At 42.2% G+C, this 27,585-nt stretch overlaps 1 protein-coding gene across 3 annotated transcripts in view, besides 1 other annotated feature; it reads left to right on the top strand.

Annotated features, from left to right (window-relative positions):
- The window catches only part of ATXN1 (ataxin 1), a 462,349-nt gene that overhangs the window by 310,725 nt on the left and 124,039 nt on the right, over nucleotides 1–27,585 (top strand). The gene's annotated exons all lie outside the window — the stretch shown is intronic.
- Nucleotides 18,107–18,166: an enhancer, noted in NCBI's record as "active region_24105". NCBI's record gives its function as "activates an Ori minimal core promoter by ATAC-STARR-seq in GM12878 lymphoblastoid cells {active_cell/tissue: GM12878}" and the evidence as "EXISTENCE:reporter gene assay evidence [ECO:0000049][PMID:35858748]".

Below are 27,585 nucleotides of genomic sequence, written 5' to 3'. Positions count from 1 at the left end.
ATTTCTACAAGGTCCCCAGAAGGGAGGAAGCTATTCATTGAATACTTCATATGGAGGTGGTTTTATGTTATTTTTATGAGATATTAAGGAATCTTCAGAAACTCATAGCATCTCCATGTTGCAGATAAAAGAGGCTCGATGGAATGGGAGTGAGTCAGTTCAGAGTTACTCTGCTAATAATAAACGTGCTGGCTTTGAACCTACGTCTCTCTGAGTAATAAGCCCCTGCCCTCTCTTCCAAAGCACATTCCTTCCCTTGAATCAGAGAGCACTAGATGGGAAGGGTGATGGGAGCTACATTATCACTGGCAGATGGAACTATTCAGCTCCTGTCCTTCCATTCTCTAAGAACCATGCATGTGTGTAAACACATGTTGCATCAGTGATTGTTCCAGGCTTTGCCTACTTGCTCCCAAACATGTGAAAAAGAAGAGGAAGATTAAGTAAGTCATTCATATATTACTTATATCTGAGTGTTTGCAATCATATAGGGGAGCATAGTTCCCACAAGGACCGGTTTTTGTAAACTTTTGCTTCTCTTTCCTGTATTTAGGCATTATATAGCTATGGCAGTGATCACCCACAGGTACAAATTCTGTATCATTCATTGCCTTTACTTGGAGGTTTACAAATATTTTTAGTCTCTACTTCTTTTTCAAACACAATCTTGAAACCTCAACATATGAAACGAATAAAGGAAAATTTTGTTAGCATAATGTATGTTAGATTTCAGCGTGTAATGCTGACTTATAAAATCAAGAAGAAAGAACAATGAAGCTTTGTGATGAACACAGAAATTTGAAAGCAGTGTTAGAGATGACAGCTGCAATCTTCTTTAACTTCAGTTTCCAATTTATTGCCTTTTGTTGTTAGGTATATTTTTTATGTTGTTGTGCAGTATTGAGAAAACCCTGATTCCCTAAAATAAGGAGTTGCAAATAATAATGAGTTGTTTTATTTTTTTAAACAGTTACCTTGCAAGCTCAGGATATGTTTTCCTTTAAACTTATCCACTTAAAACGTGTTCACTTAAAACAAAAGGAAGAAAAGAAATGGCTTCTTTCAAAGCTGATATCGCTAACAATGTGAAACCATTTACATTTTTTAATTGGTAAGCCTGCGATTTGGAGGACCAATGATAGCTTCCTCTAGCCTAAATCTTCCATTAGAGGGAGAAAACACTTTTTAAATTATAACATTAATGAGATGCTCATTGATGTACTTAAAAAACAAGAAGAAGAAGAAACTCATAAGCCTGAGGGAGGGCTCATCTCTTTCAATTTTAGAAGGAAGAAATTGTCTTTGCTTTGCATGGTGGGTCCAATCTTGAACTTTAGATTTAATCTCTGACATTGGCTACCATAAGCATGGTATGTCTGACAGTTTAATGCCAATAATTTAATTTTATTACACCATTTTATACTACATGTTTATTTATTACATACCAAAATTCACTGAGGACAAGAACTCAGGGTGTTTTGTCTGGTCTTGGCCGTTAATTGTCCATGATACACTCATGCTGTACTAGGGTGCTCACTTGTGAAATTTCATGCAAGTGGACGTAGGGAGAACTTAAGTTTATATGTTTAAAAAAAGCAATGGTAGCGCTACAACCTTTCTACCTGAGAAACAGGATGTCACTGAGATGACGGGATACCTTTATTTTGAGATCTACACAAGCCTGGCAGTATGGTCTGGCCCATTAGTAGTTGTGGCAATGCCAGGATGGAAGTTACATTTGATTAACGGGGTAACTAAGAATCTAACTTCAGAAGAACTCTTGCTATCCCCTTTAACCCTCACAACAACAGCAACAAATAAATCAGTTGGCAAATCTTGAAGATGTAGAGCCTTACTAACAAAATGGAGTTAAGAAAACCCTTCATGCAAGCAAAAAAGCTTGATCTCTGCTAGGGACATCAAAGGTGCAGTGGTGTGGACGTCCAGACACAGATCTGATGTAGGCTTTCCTCTTGGGCCTTAGCCTAGCTCAGTGGTTTTCAAATTCCACTGTATGTGAGCATTGTTGCACAGGGTGGTATAAACAAAAACTGTATATAGTGTCCTTGTTGGGCAATGTAAGACACTTTTATTTATTGAGCCAATACTTACAGAGTGCCTTCTCTGTGCTAAGACTCATAGGTGCTGCAGTTTGAGCAAGGATGAAGAGAAGTCAGTTAATGGGTGATACAAAAATACAGTTAAATAGAAGGAGTAAGTTTTAGGATTCAATAGTACATATCACTTGTACCCCCAAAATATGTACACCTGTGATATATCAGTAATGAATAAATAAGGAGCATCATTCTAGCGCAGGAAACAAACCAACAAGGACTTTGTGGTGTAACATCAGCTGTGATGAATGAAGAGAAGAATCAGAGGGGCGAGGGAAGAGGGGGCCTGCTCTTTTAGACAAGGCGACCAGGGAGGGACACATCACAGCAGAGACCTGAATGAAGAGAACTCATTTGCCAGAGGAGCATTCTAGGTAGGACCAGGATTGTGCCTGGATGTGGAAGGGAGTGTGGAGGCCACTATGCTGGAGCAGAACATAGGGAGGAGATGGGCAGGAAAAAAGAGGAGGAGGGTTTCACATAGTTGGGGTCAGATCATGTAGGGCCTTCTAAGTCTTGACATGGACCAGGACTGTGGTTTTTACCATAAATGTAATAGGAAGCATTGAAAGGTTTGAGTGGAATGGTATTAGGATCTGATTTGCACCTTACAATTTCAAGGATACTTTTGAACCCACACACTCTGCATTGGGTGGGAACTTTAGACCCTAGCCCCTGAATTAAGTGTTATTCTACTATATGGCACATGGAGAGCTTTTCTGAAACTACAGTTACTTAATAATGAGAAATTCAATTTAAAAATAAAACGCAGATGCTCTGAAGCCCGTTGGTAGAATCTTTGGGGCTTTTAAATAAGTTTAAAAGCTACAAGCTTCAATAAAGATTAAATTAGAAATCCTATATAAAGCTTCTAAGAGTGTAACTAGCATTTTAGTAATGCTTACTAAGTGCTGGTTCTGTCCCTTTCTGCTCTCCTATTTTTTTTATCAGCGCCTTTGCTATTAGGCCAGGCGCAGTAGCTCACACCTGTAATCCCAGCACTTTGGGAGGCCGAGGTGGGAGGATCACTTGACGCCAGAAGTTCAAAACCAGCCTGGGCAACATAGTGCGATTCTGCCTTGATAAAAAATAAAAATAGGCAGGGTGTGGTGGCTAACACTTCTAATCCTAGCACTTTGGGAGGCTGAGGCAGGTGGATCACTTGAGGCCAGGAGTTTGAGACAAACCTGGCCAACATGGTGAAACCCCATCCCTACTAAAAATACAAAAATTAGCTGGGTGGGTGGTGGGCACCTGTAATACCAGCTACTCAGGAGGCTGAGGCAGGAGAATAGTTTGAACCCAAGAGGCCAAGGTTGCAGTATGCTGAGATCATGCCACTGCACTCTAACGTGGGTGACAGAACGAGACCCTGTCTCAAAAAAATTAATTAATTAAAAATTTTTAAAAAATACAATTAAAAAATACCTTTGCTATTGATGTCTGTTTCTGATTGTCTGTCATCCCGGTACACTATATTTACTTTCCAGGGAAACTGAGTCATTCAACAAGCCTCTGGCTTCTAGTGATAAGCACTATCATTAGAAAGAATTATGTTCTGTGTGTTAAGGATAAGGGACACATTCTTTTTGGAAAATAGTGCTTGTGAGTCTAGGAATAGTTGTATAATCTGGGAATATATGCTAATGCTATAGCTGAGTTCAAATCACTTTTTTAAAAATGCAAACTTATCTTCTCTGTCACCAAGCATGTCTTCCATACAAAAGGCACATTTCTGTAGCTTCATCCATGTTACTCTAGGCTATTTCCTCTAGTTTATTAACCACACGCTCAGCAAACTGTAGAGAGTATGGTCTGATCCCTTTCTCCCATAATAAAAATTTTAAGACTATGTACTTGTTGATAGATGACACCAACAGGATATATTTTACAGAAATGAAACAACAACATGTGAAGAATATTTTAGGTCACTGTAAAGTTCCTTTAATAGAAAAAAAACTTTAGATTTAACTGTTAAACCCTTTGAAAAAGAAATAATTTATTTCATGCAAATGACTAAAGCAAAATGGAGTGTGCAGAAGACCTACCTGCATACTGTATGTAAAATACAGTTTTCTGGGCTTCACTCCCAGGAATTCTGATTCACAAATCTGGGGTTGGGCAGCTTTCAATTTTGAGAAGTGCCCCGAGTAAGCTGATGTCAGGAATGTGAATTTTAACAGGCACCCCAAAGGAAGGCTGTGGGAAACCACATTTGAGAAACACTGCCAAATTACCAAAGGAACTTTAACTTTGTGTTATAGAAATATCAAACACATTTAACAGACACTTCTCAAAAGAAGACATTTATGCAGCCAAAAGACACGTGAAAAAATGCTCATCATCACTGGCCATCAGAGAAATGCAAATCAAAACCACAATGAGATACCATCTCACACCAGTTAGAATGGCAATCATTAAAAAGTCAGGAAACAACAGGTGCTGGAGAGGATGTGGAGAAATAGGAACACTTTTACACTGTTGGTGGGACTGTAAACTAGTTCAACCATTGTGGAAGTCAGTGTGGCGATTCCTCAGGGATCTAGAACTAGAAATACCATTTGACCCAGCCATCCCATTACTGGGTATATACCCAAAGGACTATAAATCATGCTGCAATAAAGACACATGCACATGTATGTTTATGGCGGCACTATTCACAATAGCAAAGACTTGGAACCAACCCAAATGTCCAACAATGATAGACTGGATTAAGAAAATGTGGCACATATACACCATGGAATACTATGCAGCCATAAAAAATGATGAGTTCACGTCCTTTGTAGGGACATGGATGAAATTGGAAATCATCATTCTCAGTAAACTATCACAAGGACAAAAAACCAAACACCGCATGTTCTCACTCATAGATGGGAATTGAACAATGAGAACACATGGACACAGGAAGGGGAACATCACACTCTGGGGACTGTTGTGGGGTGGGGGGAGGGGGGAGGGATAGCATTAGGAGATACACCTAATGCTAGATGACGAGGTAATGGGTGCAGCACACCAGCATGGCACATGTATACATATGTAACTAACCTGCACATTGTGCACATGTACCCTAAAACTTAAAGTATAATAATAATATAAAAACTTAAAAAAAAAAGAAATATCAAACACATTTGAAAGCAGAGAGGTGGTAAATGAACGCTTTTGCCCCACCACCCCATTCAGCAGCAGAGCCAACATCGTTTTCTCTACTCCACCTCTGCACCTGGATTATTTTGAAGCAAATTCCAAATAACAGTATTCCCTGGACCTTGCATCTTCATAACAGATTGCTGTTGACTCAAAATATCTATAAAATATTTTACTATTTCTATAAATGATTAGGATTCTTCTTCTCATACACAACTACAACATCATCATCACACCAAAAAATGCATTAACAGTCATTTCTCAATATCATCAAATATCCCGTCAGTATTCATATTTTCCTAATTGACTTATTAATAAGTTTTATTTTATGTTGTAGGATTTTTTAATAGTTTATTTGAACCAAGATCCAAATAAAGGTCATTTCGGTCTCCTAAACCTCTTTTACACTACTCGGTATCACCTATGTCTTTTTTTTATTTTGCAGTTTTTTCTGTTGAGAAACCAGACCATTTGTCTGGTAGAATTTCCCACCCGTCTGGGTTTGGATGATTGCCTCCATGTGGTGTTGCTAAGCATGTCCCTCTGTCTCCTGAATTTCTTGGGAATTGCTAGGAAGTTCTAGAGGCATTGTTTTGTTTGCTTTGCTTTGCCTGACTGCTTCATAGTTGGTGTTGTGTTGTGTATTTCCTTCAGGAGGTAATGGTTGGTGGCATCTCTTTTTGCAGTGAGACTGTCATCTGAATTCATAAATTTATCAGGGATTGCAAATAGTGGTAGTCTAATTCTATTATTATTTGTTCATTTGTTAGCAGGAATTATTGTTCATGAAGAGAAACTCCTTGCATCTGTAATTTATCTACCCGGTGCTTCAGGTTTTGTAGGAAAAGCAGGATAATATACTAGATTCTGTCTATTTACCAATTTGCACGATACAGCTAGTTCACAGTGTCAAACCAAGTCACTGTGTTTTGAAAGCATGACTGTAAATTCATAGATTGCAGCATATCTGTTGTGTTTCAGTCCATGACAGTGATTACCCTTTTTCATGTTCAGATGGTCCCCTGTCTGAGCATTGGGATCCTATTCAGTTTGGCTACTGAGTCCTTTTAATCCAATACTGGCTGTCTTTGATAGTTTTCTTGCTTTCTAGTATAACACTATGTTCCAGGCTCATCTTGTACATTTCTTGCCTTAGCTCTGGGATCAGCTTTTTTCCAAGGAGACCTGGTTTCTTTCAGTGAGAAATGATATTTGGAGACCAAAGACTGGGCCCCAGGGGAACTGTTCTCACTGGGTTGAATATTGTTTTTCCTTTCCAGTGGACACAGCCAGTGATAGGAAATCTGTGTCTCTCTAGATATAGATATAGATCGATTGTGTGTACTTTTTTTTTTTTTTTTTGAGACGGAGCCTCGCTCTGTCGCCCAGGCTGGAATGCAGTGGCGCAATCTCGGCTCACTGCAAGCTCCACCTCCCAGGTTCACGCCATTCTCCTGCCTCAGCCTCCCGAGTAGCTGGGACTACAGGCGCCCGCCACCACGCCTGGCTAATCTTTTCTGTTTTTAGTAGAGACGGGGTTTCACTGTGTTAGCCAGGATGGTCTCGATCTCCTGACCTTGTGATCGGCCCTCCTTGGCCTCCCAAAGTGCTGGGATTACAGGCATGAGCCATCGTGCCTGGCCGTGTGTACGTATTTTTTAAGGTAAAATACCTCATGAGTTTATACTGATGTGCCACAAGGCTTTTACTTAACTTCATTCATTTTACATCAGTATTTTCTTTCTCTCAAACTGAAAATAGCAGTTCTCACTCACACCAACACAATTTACTCATTTACTTTCTCCCACACTACACTTGCAATAATTTCCGAACAAAAATGCCAGTGACATTGCAACAATATGCTTACTGAAAATGTTTAAGGTTTTTTTTATTTTGATTGTTTAGTTTTGTATTGGTTTTTAGTCCACTGGGCTAGAGATGGACAATTACATTACAATATGTTAGGGTCATTTGGAATAGTTACAGTCTGTGTGTTTATGCCAATAACTGGATATACATTTGAGTTCACTTACTTTAATTTGAGACTTCCTAAGAGGCTTTTGAAAAGTGATTCTTGTTCAATAATTATATAAAAATATTTAAATTTTCCTGAAACAAAACCCACAAAACAAGGTGAAGTCGTTGAAGTCTGTCTTTCATGCCTGTCTGCTTTATTTTCTCCTTTTTACCATTTTTAGGCATATCTTTCATTTTTATTATAAGCAATCATACTATTTAGGTAGGTTTTTTTTTTTTTTTTTTTTTTTTTGCTCCAATAGATTTATTTATTTATTTAGAGACAGGGTCTCACTTTGTCACCCAGGCTGGAGTACAGTGGTACAGTCTTGGCTCACTGCAGCCTTGAACTCTTAGGCTTAAGCAATCCTTCTGCCTCAGCCCCCCAAGTAGCTGGGACTACAGGTGTGCCCCACCATGCCCGCTATTTTTTTTGTTTGTTTGTTTTTCCAGACCAAGCCTTGCTCTGTCACCCGGGCTGGAGAGCAGTGGCACCATCTTGGCTCACTGCAGCCTCACCCTCCTGGGTTTAAGCAATTCTCGTGCCTCAGCCTCCTGAGTAGATGGGATTACAGGTGTGCGCCACCACGACCAGGTAATTTTTGGATTTTTGGTAGAGACGGGGTTTTGCCATGTTGGCCAGGCTAGTCTCAAGTTCCTGGCCTCAAGTGATCCACCCGCCTTGGCCTCCCAAAGTGTTGGGATTACAGGTGTGAGCCACCATGCCCAGCCTTCCAGTAAAAATGTTTAGAATAATTCCTTAATATGGTACCCTTCTTATCCCCCAAACTTTTCTTAGCTGTTGTTTATTGGTTTCCAACTCTGAGTGATTTTGAAATTCTTAGTACCCTTTCTTTCTTATTTTCTTCTCTGGCTATAATTTGATTTAAGGTAATATCCTTTTACTCCCACTTAACATCTATGTTAGTGAGATTATTTTCGTTCCTTTCATATTCTTCCCGCGTGTTTTTTTTTAATCATTATACTATCTATATTGTCAGGGCACATAGTCATTATATCGTTCTGGCTATATGTAATATTGTTTCCTTGTAATCATCTTTCAGTAACAGACCTACAGCTGATTATGTGTTAAATGCTCACCCAGTCTTTGTATCAGTGCCTTTCCAGCCAGACTGGTTGCCTGACTCTTCTCCCTTGCAGATTACTAAGGGTTTCTGCGAACAATATTCCTTGGGTCCTTGCATATTCATAACAGATTGTTGTTGGCTGGAAGATCATTTTGGCTGGGTATAAGATCCTTGGCTTAGTTGTCTTTCCTGAGTGTCACGCTACTGACTTTTAGCATGAAGCCTGGCTCTTGAAAAATCGGGTGACACTCTAATTTTCTGTCCCTTATAGGTAACTCAGTCATTTTACCTGAGTGTCCAAAGAATTTTTTTTTGTTTTCTTTCCTAGGTCAGTTTTTCCAGGTGCATGGAGTATTCTGTCAATATATAGTTTCAAATCTTTTTCTACTTCTAGAATTTGTGCTTCAGTCACGATTTTAAGCATTTGCTGTTTTTATTGCTTTTCTTCTTCAAAGGCTCTTATTACAGTGTTATGTTGGGTTTTCTTTGCTCATGTTCCTTTTCTGAGTCTTTCTCTTGAATTCTATTTCTTTCCTCATTTCTTTTTGATGTTTAACACTTTCTCCTTTCTATTTTTTAGCACTCCTCAAAGATTATCTGTTGTATGTATTCCCTCTTGTGTTCCTTCTTATTTGGTCTTCATCTAGAAAATGGATTTTCTTTTTTCGTTTTCTTCAAATTCTTTCCCACGTTCTTTTGCCTCTCTCTATCCAACTATTTCTTTTCTCCAATCACTTCATTTCTGAATGTTTTTATTGGGATTAGTGTTCCTTTATCTCTTCTTACTGCCTCATTTTCTTTTAGCTCTTTTGAAATATTAAAGTTTTCATCTGTTTTGGGGGCATGTCTCTGTGGTAAGAATGCTACTCTGATTTTTCTTCTTATAATAACTGTGCACTGTATTTGACCACAATCCTATTTTGTTACTCATTTTTAAGTGGAATGAGTTTTCTTGTATTTTTAGGGATAAGGGATGGGCCAGAAAATATTTTCTAGTGTCTAGGCCATAGAACTCCGTCTTCTGTTGTTTCCATGGAATAAAATAAGGCCTATATTTTCTTAGCTTCGTCTTCTCTGCCTCCCTTCACTTGGATCTGCCCCCTCCCTTCACTTTGGCTAAATTATTACTGCCATGTTCGATTTAGATTCTGCTCTCAAAAGTTTCTTCTCAAGGTGATTTGGTCGTGGAAGGAAGCTTAGATTTGTTGGTCTCAAGAGTGCCCTGGCTCCGTAACACCTAAGCACCTCAGACCTTCCCAGGGTTCCTTGCCCTCACCCCATGAATTGGATTCTGCAGGACCCCTTGCCAATGATGCTGCTGTGCTCAAAATAGCTCACCACCCTGCTGACCGTGCCGTAAGGACCTTTGGAAGCTTGGGAGCCCGTTGTGCCAAAACCTTCAGATGCCCACTGCCTCTCCTCCAACTTTCTCTTGCACAGATATTGCTTCTGCCTGGCTCTGTCACTATAAATGGTTCGGCCACACCCATTCCTGTCTTCAGGTTTATGGACTACACAGTAACCTCATTTTGTCTTGATGTGGTCCATGGGTTTTTGGCTGTGTAATTCCAATTTCTCTGTTTTTGTTGTTATCATTGCTATTGTTACTGGCAGGGAGGAGGAGGGCAGGGATTCTGAAAAATTTTTTTAAACTGTGCTACCTTTGACACTGGTGCCATCATCTTCCCTGAATTCCCGCTTTAATTTTTTCTTTTCTTTTCTTTTTTTTTTTTAAGACAGGGTCTCACTCTGTTTCCCAGGTTGGAGTGCAGTGGTGCTATTTTGGCTCACTGCAACCTCTGGCTCCTGGGTTCAAGCAATCATCCCACCTTAGCCTCCCAAGTAGCTGGGACTAAAGGTGTATGTATGTATTCCCTCTTGTGTTCCTTCTTATTTGGTCTTCATCTAGAAAATGGTTTTTTTTTTTTCTTTTACTTCAAATTCTTTCCCACGTTCTTTTGCCTCTCTCTATCCAACTATTTGTTTTCTCCAATCACTTCATTTCTGAATGTTTTTATTGGGATTAGTGTTCCTTTATCTCTTCTTACTTCCTCATTTTCTTTTAGCTCTTTTGAAATATCAAAGTTTTCATCTGTTTTGGGGGCATGTCTCTGTGGTAAGAATGTGCCACCACGCCTGGCTAATTTTTTGTATTTTTGGTAGAGATGGGGTTTTGCCATGTTGCCCAGGCTGGAGACTCCTGGGTTCAAGCGATCCACCCATTTAGACCTCCCAAAGTGCTGGGATTACAGGCATGAGCCACCGCACCTGGCCCCACTTCAATTTTTTTTTTTTTTTGAGACGAAGTCTTGCTCTTGTCCCCCAGGCTGGAGTGCAATGGCACCGTCTCAGCTCACTGCAACCTCCGCCTCCCGGGTTCAAGTGATTCTCCTGCCTCAGCCTCCCGAGTAGCTGGGATTACAGGTGCCTACCATCACACCCACCTAATTTTTGTATTTTTGGTAAAGATGGGGTTTCACCATGTTGCCCAGGCTGGTCTCGAACTTCCGACCTCAGATGATCTGCCCACTTCAGCCTCCCAAAAGTGCTGGGATTACAGGCGTGAGCCACTGTGCCTGGCCCCACTTTAATTTTTTAATAGTGCTTGAGAAGATGTTTCTGCTAAATACTATGCCTCTGGATTAAACCTCAAATACTTCAAAATGAAAAGTTTGATTTCGGTCACAGATTTTTAGTAAATACTTTTTAGGGACAAGAAAACTACAAAGTGCTTTGAAAAACAAAACAAGCTCAATTTTTTATTTGTTTAACATATGTAGAAAATAAAATTAATACACGTATCTTTTCCAAATTAACACAGTATGAAACCAACCACTACTAATTCATCAAAAGACACAATTTAGATCAAGTTTAGGCTTGGTTAGGACGCTGGACGCTGAGTAAATGGTAGCTCTGAGGCTGAAAAAAAACCCCTGAGTCACTCTGGTACACATTCTGATGTCAGCATCCCCACCCCACCCCAACCCTTATTCCCGCCCCGCCCCCGGCCCCGCCCCCCCCCCCCCCCCCCCCCCGCGAAAAGAAGTCTCTAGCTCTGAAAATTGGCTTGTTATAACTTTACAAATGTAGTTGCCAAATTGCCATTGACATCACATTTTTCTTTTTGGCTTTTAGTAGCTAGATAGTAATACTATAAAGGAACTCTCTGCTTTTTCTATTTTGTCCTTTTTAAATTCTTGGAGGCCCTTCATAACATGGAACACAGGATGGGCAAACGTGCTTCTTATAGTGTAGGTTAGATTTAGCACCTTTTGACAAAGGGCCTTGTTTCCTGTGCAGTTTAAATTTAGATCCACTGAGAATCTGAGAAATTCAGTAATGAAAGGGTAACTTTGGAGTTTCCTCTTTTGGAAGCTTTCCTTATTAAATTCTATTAATGACTCTGTTAGACTTGATTCCCATCTTACACAAGAGATTCCAGAATAGCAACTTGAATTGCTTCTTAGTCCCTCTTACGAAGTCACTCCTTCATTTGGCATTGATCGAGTACCTCCCGTGTACTGGCTGACGGGGCTTATATACAGAGCCACTACCTTATTTTTCATTCTGTTATTTTAAGAGTTTCTTGATAGTCCATCTACTTAAGAAGTGTTGCTATTAAATTTCAGTCTATCTCATAAATATTATTCTGAGATCCTCCTGGCTGGATTTATAGGTATAAATCATTCTTGGATAAAATATACAATATAAACAGTAAGTGGACCAGTTATCTGATTATACGTGCTCTGAGTCTACAGAAAGACAATATCTTGGTATGTTTCAGGAGACTTGTAGAGATGAGGTGTAGGACTTCTCATTTCTAATTAAAACTAATTAAAATTTACTGTCTACAAGGGAGATGGATTGAACATCACCTTTACCTTTCTCTTGACAGCAATGAAACCTGACTCAAAGCTGGCACTAAATGTATTATTTCAGTATCTGTGTCCTATTATGTGTTGTAATATTTTGGATTAAAAAATGGAGAAAAAATAAACAAGAAATTTTTATTTCTGCTAAAAAGTCAACAGAGTCCATTGTTATCTTTCTTTGCTTTTCAGATGGCAGAAATTGGGTGTCAGGTCCTATAACACAGGGGTTCCCAACCCCTGGGCCATGGACCATTATGGGTCTGTGGCCTGTTAGGAACTGGGTGGCACACCAGTAGGTGAGAGGCAGGCGAGCCGGCATTAGCCAGCTCAGCCAGCCTAAGCTCCACCTCCTGTCAGATCAGTGGCAGCATTAGATTCTTTCTCATAGGAAAGTGAACCGTACTGTGAACTGCACATGTGAGGGATCTAGGTTGTACCTTCCTTATGAGAATCTAATGCCTGATCCCCCTACCCCTAGCCTCATGGACCAGTGCCAAAAAGTTTGGGGACCACTGCCATAAGAAGTCCCGACCAGAAGTGTCACATCTTTCTATTGCATGATGCTGCTTCTTGAACACCCATAGTAGCCAAGGCCAGAATTAGTGTGGCACCCTCTTCCCCAGACAAGGTCCATGGACAGTGCATTTCAAAATACAGGAAGCTCTCCTTACACTCTCTGCTACCTAGCTTCCATGGTTATCAAGTAATTATACTTTATGCTGAGCCAACTTATGCATTTAGGAAGAGATGAAGAGAAATTATATCCTCAAATGGGCTGGAACAAAAGGGAATACCAATAATTTGTAAGTTAATCAAATTATAATTAAAGCAGGAAGAGACACAAGGAGCTTGGATTATCTATGTTTTCTGTTAGAAAATAATACAACAAAAGTATCCAGGGAGTCTTATCAGTTCTGTAGGAATTTGGCAGAACAGTAAGGTTATAAGTTGTCCTTTTAATTCCCAGCCACCTCTGGCCTCTGCTTACCATGGCCCTGCCTTCTGACTTGCTGTTTGCTCAGCTCCTTAGTGCATGGGAAGAGCAGAAACATCAGGGGAAGAGCGCTGAGATCTGCTGTGCACCTGTGCCGCACAGCCCTTCCCATGTAGACATGTGTAGCTTTTGGGTTTGCCAGTGGATGGAACTTATCCGCATCAAGTAGCCTTCCACGGGGGTGGTGCTGATACGCACTCCCACCCACAGCCGATACAGCCTAATCACAAGTGGAACAATCAGAGTGGAAAGTAGCGGAAAGTAGCAGCCTCTGGTTTCCAAATGTGAGAGAGCCTCAGGGCTCAGTCCTCAAACCTGGTCTGTTTTTTGTTGATGCCTTCAAACCATCTCAAAACTGACACCTTCTCCAGCCTGGGCCTTTTCTTTGAACCTCAGGCTTGCATATCCCACTGTCTCTTAACTGCCTTCAGTGGGATGAACTCTTGATATTCTACCCCAACCTGCTTCTCCCACTGCCTTCCCATCTCCTTCCAGTTACTCAGGCCACAGTTGTTGACGTTGTCCTTGATGCCTCTTTTTCTCCTACACAATTCTGCTGGTCCACGGTGCCACCATCTCTTGGCTGGAGTTCATCAGTAACCTCCTGAGTAGTCTCTCTGCTTCTTCTCAGAATATCTCCTCCATGCAACAGCCAGCATGAACTGGTGAAAATGTAGTCCAGACCCTGTACCTCCTCTGATCAAAACCCTCCAGTGCCTCTCAGCTCACTCAGAGTAAGGACCTCAGACTTTATTGTGGCTCAAAGAACTTGTCACCCCCACCCTCTGACTTCATTTCCTGCTCCCCACCCCCTTTACTCAGTGCCAGGAACACCACCTCGATGGTGTTCCTCCAACACACCACACAGGAGCCCACCCCAGGACCTTGGTACCTTCTGTTCTTTCTGTCAGGAAGGCTCTTCCCCCAGTCACCACATTGCTTTCTATTTCCCTTTCTTCAGGCTTTTCCCCAAAAGTTACTGTCTCTGTGAGGTCTTTTTTGACTGACAAGCTTGAAAAAATGGTCACCAGACCACCACCCTAGCCCCCTTTTCTGCTTAACTTTTTAGCATCTATCACCATTTAATGGAAAATACTTCATTATAAATCTTTTATTTCCATGAGGATAGGTAATTATTTGTTGTTGGGGGTGTCTTTGTCAGCATCTAGTACAGTGCCTGGCAGATGGATGCTCAATAAATATTGATTTAATGGGTTATGAGGGTGTTAATATAAAATTAGCATTTATTCAGCAACTACTATGAGTCAGCCACTGGGCTAAGTGGCTTACATGTTAAGAACCTCACAGAAGGCCAGGTGTGGTGGCTCACGCCTGTAATCCCAGCACTTTGGGAGGCTGAAGCAGGCAGATCACCTGAGGTCAGGAGTTTGAGTCCAGGCTGGCCAACGTGGTGAAACCCCATCTCTACTAAAAATACAAAAATTAGCCAGTTGTGGTGGCAGGCGCCTGTAGTCCCAGCCACTCAGGAGGCTAAGGCAGGAGAATAGCTGGAACCCGGGAGGTGGAGATTGCAGTGAGCCAAGATTGCACCACTGCACTCCAGCCTGGGTGACAGAGTGAGACTCTGTCTCCAAAAAAAAAAGAAAAAGAAAAAGAACCTCACAGCAACCTAGTAGGTGAGCACTGTTACTCTTGTTTTACAGGTGAGAAAATTGAGCCCTAGAGAAATAAAGTAACTTGCTTCAGGTCTCATGGTTAAGGGGAACCTGGGCCCTAACAGTCCACTTCCTGTACCTTCAACCACGGCTCTACCGCCTCCGCTAGGAGATGGCCCGAGGACATTCCTTAGCTGGCTTCAGCTTGCTCTTTTTCCCCTGCGGTCCACCCCTGTCTCCTGCTTGGTCATCAGTGATTTCCATGCCATCCCATGTCATTGGACCAGTTGTGTGTTTTTAATAGGAGTTCTCATCTCACTTTCTCCACAGCTTTGCCAATTCTGCTCTCCCCCTCCTGTCTAAATACCTTCCTCCCTTGGCTTCCTGAACACCACTGTCTTCGGGTGCCATCATCCCTTTCTGGCCCCTCCTTCCTAAGTCTTCAGGTGTTCCCTTTCTACCTGCTTTCTACGCCTCTAAGTGTTGGAGTTCCTCATGGCTTAGTCTCTAGACCACTTTGCTTCTCCACTTAAGTGTTCTGCTAGATGATCTCATCCAAACTCACAGTGCCTTGATGGATCCATGACTCCTGCATCCATGTTTCTAGGCCAGACCTCTCATCATCTTCGGGCCTGTGTCTCCAGCTACCTACTCTGCACCTCCTTTGGGGTATCACAATGTCACCTGAACTCAGCACGTTCAAAGTCAAAGTTATAACAATCACCATCCCACCAAACCTCATCTACCCAAGAATTCCCCATCTCAGCCATTGGCATCATCTAGTTACCCAAGACAGATGCCTAAAAGTCCTCCTTGAAGCATTTCTGTCCCTCTTCCTCTGCATCTAATGTGTCACCAAGTCCTACTGATGCAATCTCCTCAGTGTCTTTCGAATGCACTCTCTCTCTTCCGGCCCACTATCACCATTCTAGTCCTAAAACCTACCTTCTTTCTAGGAGCCACAGCTTCTCTGGAGTTTTTACACCTCTTCCAACTGTTCCCATCACCCCGTTCTTTTCTTTGACAACATTTTTTACATATAAAAATAGGTATTTATGTGATTATATCATGAATGTCTTTTCTCCCCAACTAAGAAGCACTATGAGAGCAGGGAGCTTCCTGTTTCTCCCCGTTCAATCCTCAGCTCCTAGCAGCACAGTGCCTGGTGTATAGCAGATTCTCCATCAGTATTTGATTTGTTGAGTGAAAAACTTAGATGTATTAAATGACAAACTGAGATCAAGGGAGAATGAAGAATCAATCAGAAGCAGATAGAAAATTATGCTGTGTGGTATGGCAACATCATGAATGGACTGTTACCGATAATACACACTGAGTCATCAAAGAAACATTAACATGTATTCTCTATTTTAAAAGGGAGGTACATAAATATAGAACCAAATAAACAGATCTCAGGAACATTTCCATTCAGTAAGCAAAGTTTTAGAAGGGAAAGAGAAATTAAGTTCACATCATTTCCCAATAACACAGATGAATGTTTTCCATCCAATTCTGAGGACAAAGATAGCACCTCCTCGCCCATCCATGCCAACGGAGGCTGAGGTAGCACAGATAATTGAAATTACAGTGAAGAAGGAAAGGGGTTGATTGATTTGCATGCCATCTCTTTTCTTTAATAGTGGAGGAATTGCCAAAAAAGGCTAAAAATGGGCAACAGGAAAAGGGAGAAACAGTAAGAATCTTGGATAATCTTCCACTAGATAATTAAGACTTAACTGGGTCTGTTTTGATGTGTGCACATGTTTCTGTACATGGAGAAGGATGAACCCACAAATATTATAAATGCCAATTTCCGAAGGCTTTTGGAAAATGTAACCCATAGCATATGGTGTCAAATTAATTTGGGGTTTTACTTGTTTCAGTCTGATTTGGGCACATTGAATTATGAGATAATAGTTTGGCATCCATGTTTGCTGAGTGCTTGTTGTAAGTTTCTCAATTTCACAAAAATTCTCTGAGGTTAGAGGACGCGTCGTGACCCTCGTTTGGCAGGTGAGGAGGTAGCGGCACAGAGCCGATCCGTGGCTCGCCTGAGCTCCGGCAGGAACTCCTGGGCGGAGCTGCTGAGACCCAGGTCTGCAGACTGTCACTCTGGCTTCACTATTTCTGGCCTTCCTTTGAGCACTTTTCTTACTTTTGTTCTGTTTCATGCACTTAATGCACCTGTTTCATCATGCTGCCTGTCACAGTTAAAGGAATTTAAAACAGAATGGATCGTATTTGACAGTAAGGAGCTGTACAGCTGAATTCCATCAAGACAATGTGCTTGTAGCCCCAACGGCATTAAAACTTTCAAATGATGCTTTATCACAACTTCCTCTGGGCTGCACGTGACAAAGGGGTGCTTAACCAGGAGGGACATCTCTCTTTGCTTGTAGGGGCAGGTTGCTGTTTTTTGCCCACCTCTAAAATCTCCTTGGAGCACTCAGTTCTTCTTATCCTCCTTAAAGCCAACAACTATAAAATTTAATTTAATGTTGAACAGCTGTTTCTGTTGCGGTCCAGGTGAAATTTGAGGTATCAGCTAATTGTGCTAAAGTTCCCAAAAAGAAGTATTCAGAAGGTGTGGATCACCAATTACCTCTTGGCAGAGCTGTGAACTAATAACTAGTAGCAGTAGATAATGTACTCAGATGCCACATGAAATGCAAAAGATTCTATGCTTTATTCCATAAAGCATGGCTATAGGACATTGTCTACTATGTAACTAATATTTAAATATTTATAGATTTTTAAAAGATTTCTTCAACCTTCTTTTCTCACCCTGTTTCTAGATCTGATGCACAAAGGAAAATAATAATACAAAACCCATAACCTATTCATTGTATTGTTGCGGTAGATCGAGCTACATGCTGCACAGCAAAAGACCTTCTTTGCACTTCTTTCAAGCAGAATTATTGCTGTATATTCACTCTGAACTGAGAGGTGAGGATTGAACTGTGTAGTGCCTCAGAAAATATCAAGAGTTTTAAAACATTAGTTTTGAGAGATTGAAATACATAGAAACTTGGAATGTTTGAATGTCAGCCCAGACATTGGCAGGCTTCCATGCAGATTTCATTGTGAGTAAAATGTGTACTCAGTGGCTGGGTTCAAGCCCTTCATAGTTTATAAGCAAATGTCTCTGCTTCTTCTAGATCATTGCAAAAAAAAAAAAGAAGAAGAAGAAGAGAAGAAAAGAAAAAAGAAATAGGTTAAGCAAATTTTGTGGTGGTGCTTATGTGTGCACAGACATGCATGAGGCCTCCGCATCTTCCAAACTTGGAAAGCATATTTTAACAGCACAAATATATCTACATGTTTGATCTACATCAGAGCCTCTTTTTTTCCCTCTTCCTTGCATGCTTTTAAATTATATAGTTTAAATGTTTTAACTATTAAATCTGTTTGGTCTTCAAGCTGTAAACATCACACACAGCTAATAAGCTTTAGGAAAGAAAAGGAAATTGACATTTAGTATAGAGGTTCTACAAAACCAATGAAAACCATGCAAATGAGCTATGGAACAGAGAGATTTGCATATCCTCGTTGATTTCATGATGATATTCTCAGCATGAGCCTGGCAGCCTTGCCTTTTTACCTCTTGGGATGATGCATGTACTGGTGGTAGAGCCCTGCAGGGTCAATTTAACGAGTGTAACATTGTGATTTTCCATGCGGTTTCTCAGAACCACTGAGCAAAATGCAGCAATAACCAGTGACAGAGGAAATCGATTTTTGAAGTAAATACTTTTGGAGGAGGGGAAGAAGGTACATTCCCTTCATATTTAATGTTGCCAAAGTAGGTTGAACAAGTTTTTATATTAGTACCATTTGGTATTTCAAAATAAATAGATTATCCACCATTTCCATCACTCTCTGGATACCCTCACATGTTTACCACCAAAACTCCTGCGCAGAGACTGGTCCTCTTTTGCAAACTGCCTTTGGCTCCCCCGCGATCTCTCATCAGAAAAGCAGGCTAAGGAATCTGCTTTTGCCCCCATCCTGTTAGAATGATAAATAGTAGCCTGATGGCCAAGTTGTATATTTATTTAATACATCGTCTGTATTGATAGTTTATGATGTCCTGGATATGAATACACGAAAGCACAGTTGCATAGTGGCGAAGAAGGATTTTGATATCGTGGAGATCTGGATTTGAACTCAACTCTGGCAGTTCTCCCTGCCTTAGTTTCTTGCCCGTAAATGGGGGTGATGAGGTAGTTGTGAGAATTAAATGAGAGACTATGCAAATTGTTATAATACTCCCTGGAAAATAGTTAAATACCCAATAGATAGCATCACTATTTTGAAATGCTTTCAAAATTATACTCGAGTTTTACTTCTGCAAAATCAAGGCAGCTTTCTTCAGAAAAGAGAGAAATGAACTTCACCCCTAAAATGTACTTGGAGAATTTTAGAGGGTCTTTTCCAAGTTGTTATAAAGCACTTCTGAAGTGAATTTGCCCATTTCTGCCCACACCAATCTTATAACATTCCAGGAATAAAATCTGCACTCGAGTTTAAAAATAAAACGGGTGGAACAAACTGAATTAGAAGTCCTTGGCAGACATCCCCCCCAGCAGAATGTTCTCTCAATTGGTGGTATTGCAATAAAAGAGATGTATATTTTTTAGTCTGCTCTTCCTCCCTGATAATTTCAGCCAGTTGTATTTCTCTATTCTAAAAACCTGGTATGCTTGGATTTAATCTCACCACTCCTATCTACGCTCCTGCTCCTACCCCCACACCCATTTCCCCCAAAAAAACCCCACATCTGCACAGACCCTCCTTCCCAAGAAAACATGGAGGCGGGCTGCTCTCTGATACCGTACATGTGCATTCCGGACTGTGCTGAGGAAGGTCATAGAAACATGAGAGGGCTCTGCTGTTGTCAGTTGTAAAGACTGCCAAGAAAGAACAACAAAAAAATCTCAAATGCATTCACATTTCTCCCGCCTCTTTTTTCTTCTGTAAATATTCAACCCTTTTTAGAGAGGCTTTTGATAATGTGTTATCTCAGCAAACACCACGAACCTTGGATGTACGCAGTACTCCCTAATCCCATAGGAATGACTCAGTCAAGAGAGTTAGATGAAATATGGTTGGCAAGATTGGGTGGGGAATCTTGTTACTACACACACATACACACACACACACACGCGCACACACACACACACACCAGCAGCACCAGCCACTGCACCCCTATCATCGCCATAGACATTATGTAAAAACTAGACATTCTCCTCTCCCTTACACAGTCAGTTGCATCTTTCCCAAAAATGGAAGGGGAAAAAGCTTTCTTTGGCTGAGCCATATGCAAAAAATCATGGAACATCTGTGTAAGTAACAACATACAACAAGACAAATTATTGGTGGTAAAAGGCAAAGCCCTTGTTTCAAAAACATGTCTGGAAATAGTGTGTATACAGAACCTTCCTTTGTGCTAATTACTCATAATAACTGTCAGCTTTGTGTACCACAGGCTGGGCTGTTAATAACTAGTGGTCGCAGTACGGTGTTCTTTTTCTTTCCCTTTCTTTTTTTTTTTTTCCTATCCTTCCTTCCCTCTTTCCTGCCTTCTTTTCATTGTTGTTGCACAAATCATATAGCCTTATTCCAATAGTTGCTGGAAGACCAAATCAGAGATGTGGGGGATTCAGGGACTCGCGACATCTTGGAGTATACTAGTGGATAAATGCCACTTCACCCCTGATGTGGCCGTTTCCCTCCAACACTTGTCTAAGGAGTGCAGGGACTTTGGGGTCCAAGCAATGTATCAGTAAACTTCAGAATTTTTTTCCTAACATTTAACTCTATTCTCAGTCTCAACACCCGCCACAAAAATAATGTCACTCCAGGCAAATTTAGTCGCTTACGGATTCTGAGTCTTATTGTGATTTTGCCTGAGTGGCAAGCTTTTCAGGCACGTGTACTTAAAAATGTGATGTGGTAGAATTTGCCTCCAGCTAGGAATCCACAGACTTGGGTTTGAGCTCCACGTCCCACAGTCACCACGTGATCTTCAGAAAAGAATCACTGAACTGCCTGTGCCTCCATGCCCCCGTTTGTCAAGAGGGAGGTGGTAATACCTGCTGCGGTTTTTATGTGGATCGAATGGGCCTAAAACTCATAGAAACACAGAATGCTTCTATGATAAGAGAAAACTCCAGCCAGGCTCAGTGGCTCACACCTGTAATCTCAGCATTTTGGGAGGCCGAGATGGGTGGATCACCTGAGGCCAGGAGTTTGAGACCAGCCTGGCCAACATGGCAAAACCCTATCTCTACTAAAAATACAAAAATTAGCCAGGCGTGGTGGTGGGCACCTGTAATCCCAGCTACTTGGGAGGCTAAGGCATGAGAATCACTTGAACCTGGGAGGCGGAGGTTGCAGTCAGCTGAGATCGTACCACTGCACTCCAGCCTGGAGGAGACTCTTTCTCAAAAAAAAAAAAAAAAAACGAACAAAAAATACTCTGATGCTATTGCTACTGGTTGTTTTTTTTTTTAATGCTAAAAGGACTCCAAACATCCTGTTATCACCCACTGTCAAATTTCTGCATATATTTTGCAGTGCCAGTGAGAAACTTGGGGTCTCTACAGTCAGTAAGGAAAAAGGAGTTTGAAAGAACTAAGGGATCTCTGTCTATGGGGAAGAAATAGTAGGGCAGAGAATTTAAATTTAGGGTTCTTAGGAAATGATGCACCAGGGCCACCGCACAGCCCTCATGTCTCCTCTCTTCAGTGTCCTCTCTGCCTCCATCACCTAGTGAGGAGGGAACAGGTGCAGGAACAGGTCGCCAGGGTGTCCAGCAGGTGACCTCCCACCCCCCTACCCTCGCCGCCCCCACTGCTCCACTGGCAGCCTATGTCCCAACCAAACCTTACTTCACATTGTAATTCTAATGTTCTGTGCGTGTTCATCGCCATATTTCCCTCCATCTGACCCAGCCCGTCAAAATCCTTCCTCTACTTCAGGGCCCAGCTCCCATCCCCTCTTCCGCAAAGCCTTCTAACCGCAAACCCATTAACCTCTCCCCACTTGGGGCTTCTGAGTCCCTTTATTATTTATGGTTAGGAGAAAGCATCACGTCGGTCTGGTGATGTGTAGTGAGTTGTGTGAATGTGTTAGCAGAGCAGGGTGGCCCTGCATGTGATGGTTGGGTGTTAGCTGGAGTGAGCCAGCCTGGGTTCAAATCTCCCTCTGGCATCAGCTTGTGCTGTAATTGGGGTAAGTGCTGAAACTCTCCCTGTCTCCTTTCCTCATTTGCAAACTTGGCTTAATAATGATAGCTACCTCAAAAAGTTGTTGTGATAATTAAATGAATGTCAAGCTCTTGGAACAGTGCAAGCGCTTAAGAAATATTATGTTGGTGCAAAAGTAATTGTGATTTTGCCATTACTTTCAATGGCAAAAACCACAATTACTTTTGCACCAACCCAGTATTTGCTATTACTAGTCCTGGTCAGCTGAGCATGGTGGCTCATGTCTATAATCTCAACACTTTGGGAGGCCGAGGCAGGTGGATCGCCTGAGGTCAGGAGTTTGAGACCAGCCTGGCCAACATGGTGAAACCCCGTCGCAACTAAAAACACAAAAATGTGCTGGGCATGGTGGTGAGCGCCTGTAATCCCTACTACTCCAGAGGCTGAGGCAGGAGAATCACTTGAACCTGGGAGCCAGAGGTTGCAGTGAGCCGAGATTGCCCCATTGCACTCCAGCCTGGGTGACAAGAGCAAAACTACATCTCAGAAAAAAAAAAAAAAAGGCCTGGTCTACCAGAGACAAGAGGCCATGTCTTGTCCATGAAAGCCTTGCAACCATATTTTACAGATAGAAAAGACCCAGTCCATGAACATTAAAGTCAGTATCAGGTACATTTATCAACATAAAATCTGTTCCTTTGAATCAGCTCAATAATAAAAGAGTGCAGCTGAGCACCCCCTCCCACAGCCCCATGCCTCTAGTCACTGAAAATCTGTGAGGAATTTTTATAGAGTGTTTCAGAACAGAGCATTTCAAGACAACCCTAGAGCCCTATGGAATACATTTTCAATCATCTTTCTGCGTCTGCTTTCTTTTTTGGGTGCACACAGCAGACACTGGTGATGAGGCATGTGCCTGTGTGCACTGTTGTTTTATAGAAGCTGAATGAAAGCCTGGGAGTTGTATCTGCCTGAAAACTTCCATCCTGGCTTCTAGAGCTCAACACCTGAAACGCTGGAGGCAGTTGAGGTCACTTTGAAAACGGAACCCTTGATGTTCTGCTCAAACTTTAGAGGCATTTACAACAAATCAGGCAAATGAAAGTGTGGAAAAATCAGAAACGAGGACCACTCTGTCTTAGGGATTTTGTCATTGTATCGTGTGTGTGTTTATGAATGTGAGTGTGTGTCACATGTGAGTGCATTTAACCTTCATGCAATAAGAGAGTAGTTTTCCACTTAGAACCAGCCAACTCTCTATAAAATTTACCTCCGTGATTCTAATTTTGCTCCCTCCGCCGTGGGCAAGTTGGCAATGTCTGAATGTCTGAAGTCATTTTTGCTTGTCACGACTGGGGAGGAGCTACCAGCATCTAGTGAGTAGAAGTGAGGAATGCTGCTAAACATCCTGCAACACACAGGACAGCCCCCACCACAAAGAATCATCCAGCACAAGATGTCAACAGTGCCAAGGCTGAGAAACCCTGGTTTACCTTAACCTTAAAAGAACAATTCGAATGCTTGGGAAGGGATGTCTGCCACATCTGTACTGGAGAGAAGCATGGCCCCCAGTCAAGGACATGGAGAGTTCCATGTCTGGATCTAGACCGTGTCCATCCACAAAGATGCCTCCTGCTCTTCTCCGACATACAATCTGGTCCATGAGAATAGACTTTATTGGTGAGGGGGCGGGGCTTTAGGTGAGCGGCATTGAAGGGCTTGTTCTGAGCTTGGCCTCTGCTGGCAGATTATTTTCTGGCCACTTTAATCTCGATCCTGCCTCTACTTGGTCTTTTTTTTTTTTTCTTTCCCCCAGTTTTTGGATCTTATAGTTCCACAGGACAAGATACATCTAAGAGATGGGGGAAAAGGTTAAAGCAGCAAGGGGATGCTGGATAGAGGGGGAGGGAAACAAGAAAGGAAAAAACAAGACAGAGAGACAGAGATAGACAGAGATGTACAAATGGGGGCTGCTTGGTTAAAGTGTCCTGGAGTTTTCAGCAAGAGATTTTGCTGCCAGTGTCTCTCCATCCTTCTCTCTGCCTCTCTCTCTCTCTCTCACACACACACACATACAGACACACACACACACACACTCGGCCCCACCACCACACACAGGCCAGGTGGCTCTGCTTACATACATGGCTTGGCGCTTTTACTCCTTGGCTAAGACCATTTCACACATGAACAACACAGCCTCCTCCTAGAGATTTGTCATCCATCTGCTTGCAGAAGAGCTGTCTGTTTCCCTCTGAAAATTGGTCCAATCAACATTTTCCTTTGGCCAGGGTAGCTTACCAGCAGCTCCTCCATAAGGTCCATAATTGCAATTTCTCATTCTCATTTGCCTGGCTGGCTTCACCCTTCTGTCCTCTCTGCACCTTCCCACAAGTGCCCCACCCTCCCCACCAGCCCTCTCCTCCTTTTGTGTTAATAAGCCCTGTCAAAATGAATGACAGAATCAACTTCCTTCTCCCAAAATGGCTCATTACTCATAAATTTCAAGCAATATTGCCTTCTGTCCTCAAAAGGTTTGCAGATTTTTTTCCCCCAACTGATCCCCTTTCCAGAGTGAAATAGCGGATGAATGCCTTGCCTAGCACCCTCTCTAAGCTCTGCCTCTGTGGCAGTATTGTGGGCCAATATGCCAACGAGTCTTTCCTTGTGATCTGCTCCAGCCTGTCTTGTGCCATATGCTTGTGGCAGACAGTGGTTAATATCAGTCTGTGAGCATCTTGAGGCTAGCTTTGAAGTCTAATTCTAATGTCATCATGCTTATAGGGTGCACACTTTGTTTGTTCTGGAACAGAGGGTCATCTGCTACGGGATGTGGAACACTGACCCTGATATTGCAGCCGTGTTTGTGGTTGAGTGAGGGAGCAGGTGATGGGCATAGGAGGGAACCAAGCCCTGAGCCGTGTTTCAGGGATGCTCGGTCCCATCCCCTTTCTCCCAGATGACTTCTTATTCTTAAATTTTGAATAGTGAGTAACACAAGCAGGAGGTGGGATAGCATGAGAACTTAGGAAATCTTCCCATCTCTTTGTTACTTACAAGATAAATGTCTATACTGAAGCTTTAGGGACCCAGATTACAACTGAATTGTTTTATAAATGCGTCTGAAATCTGCTGTTTTGAAGGACAAAGTAATACCTGAAGAATGATTAAGAAGGCTTAGAGAATCCGCAGGCTCCAAGGTGTGTGAATAATACCTTTCCATGGTTCACTACCAGGTGATCTGGACCTACAGCCAGTCTTCTGTGTTTCAGTATATTATGTTGGGAGCATTCCCAGACAGTTAATGCGTAAAATGCTATTCAAATTCTCCTTTACCGAAAGGCATTTTAAAGTAATACACGTGGGTGAGGAATACAAGTGCCTGGTGGGATACTTTTGGTAAACAACGTGGCACAGTGGGATGGAGTAGGGTCTACTTTTTCCCAAATGTGAAGTTAGTAGCTACAGAGGGGTCCTGAGACAGAAAGCATTTGTAAATATTAATTTGTGCTCTGTTTCACAGAATCTGAAATCAGGCATCTGTGCACTTTAAAATATGAAAGAACTAAGAGATCTAGTGTTTGGTAGCATTTTAGAGGGAAAAAAGGCCATAGCTCAAATATTGCTCTGATTTCAGTTGGCTGAATTTATGTGTAAAGGGCATGTTAGGGAATAGTCTGCAAAGGTACCAGAAACTGCCATTCATGGAAGGCCCTGAGTGCAAAATGCAGCAGTCAGTAGTTCTGACCCATGCCATTAGATGGTTCTGGAAGGTCCTCAGAGGAGACGCAACACCAACAGTGACACTGCTTCCAGCTCAGGCAGGCTGGAGCTGTTCTGAGTCTTCCTGAAGGTTCTGAATGGTCCAGCCCTTGGACTCCCTTCAGAGAGTCATGGAGCACCCACATTTCCTTTGCACCTGAAACACTTCTTTGTTTCTGTCTTCACCCTGACTCCTCATCTATTCAGAGATCCCAGCTGATCCTCTCTTTCAAAGCCAGGCCAGTGAGCTCTTACAGAAGCTTACTTCAGCATTCCTTCCACCGTCTTCTGAGTAGCAGGGCAGACAGAGACAGCAATGGAGAATTCCAGTTGATTCCCCATAAAATGGCCACTTTGTTGTGGGGCATGAGCTGGTCTGTACTTGTTTGTGCCTGGCAGTGCACACACTAGAACCCTGGGCAACCCTGGATGTAAATCAACTAGATACTATTATTAAATAGCCGAAGGTTTGCCAGTGCAGCCTGGAGCAAAGAGAGAGGGGTAAAATCAGGCTCCCAACAGACTTCCCCATAGGAAACCTCTCCTCTGCTGTGATTTTCCAGATGAGCTGCGTAAATGGCTCCAAATCACCGAATGTTTGTGCACGCAGGCTCCATTCATGCGCATGCACACACCCGGCTTGTGTCCTTCTTCCCTCTCGTCCCTTGAACCCGTAGCTCTTGATTCTGCCTGTAGGAGCAATGATGTTGTAGCAACCATGACAAAAGAAACAAAATCAGAAGGCAGATCCAGGCCGCTCCCTGCCACCTGCCCTCTGTCTACCTTAGACAGATCACTTAGGCCCACTGGGTCTTGATAAGACATGGTCTTTTCACACCTGTTCTTCCAGTCTTATAGGATTACCTGGAGGATCATGTGATGCGAAGGATGTAAAAGTGCTCCAAGGGGTTAAAAGGACTTTATATAATAAATTCCTACAAACTGCTATAGGCACAGCCATAGCTCTGAAACTAGCATTCTCGTAAGGCTAGTCCAATCCATAAGTTTCGTTTGCTTCAAGCAGCTCAGATAGACACTCTCTGAAGATAAATGATGCATAAAAACACCATTGTTTGTGATCAGAATAATCAGGTACCACTAAATAGTCCTGCATGTGTATGCATGATACCAGCAGCCTCCAACTTGCTTCTCCAGGAGCACTGTACTTAACTTGGAAACCCCTTTATTTAATTTCTGTCCACTCACAAAGCTTCACCTTGTCTTCTCTCCTCTCTGTCCTCCCGAGGTTAATCCTTGAGAGCCTGTAATCAAGGCTAGGCCCTGCCCACCTTAAGTCACCCTCCCCTCTCTCTAGGCCTCCACCTCACTGGGGAGCGTCATTGCAGCCAGTGGCAAGAAGCTGCAAAATTCTCTCATCTGTGAAGAGAGCCCCTAAAACCCCAAATCCCGGACCAGTAGAGGAAACCATTGCTGCCCTAATATCACATGTTACAAGTCTTCGAGCCCATGGTATCTGAGATGTTAGGAGCTAGCATTCCTTGTAATTAAACCCCTGGAACATCACAAGGACCCAGTTCAGGGGGCTTGGTTGGTTGACTGATTGATGACAGCATCTCAATTATGTAGGAGATTTCTGTAAAGAGGAGTGACTGGAAGGAAAAGAAGATAACCTTCATTTATATCATGAGACCTTGCGTAGTAGAAGGCCGTGAGGATGGGAACAAAGTGAAATCATGAAAAACAGCCTGATGCAAAATGACAAAGAAGAATTTCAGGGTCGTTGAGATCACACTTGAACAATAACTGAACA

The sequence above is a fragment of the Homo sapiens genome, chromosome 6 (genome assembly GCF_000001405.40).
Source record: "Homo sapiens chromosome 6, GRCh38.p14 Primary Assembly".
Taxonomy (NCBI): Eukaryota; Metazoa; Chordata; class Mammalia; order Primates; family Hominidae; genus Homo; species Homo sapiens.
This window is presented reverse-complemented; position numbering and strand designations above follow the sequence as displayed.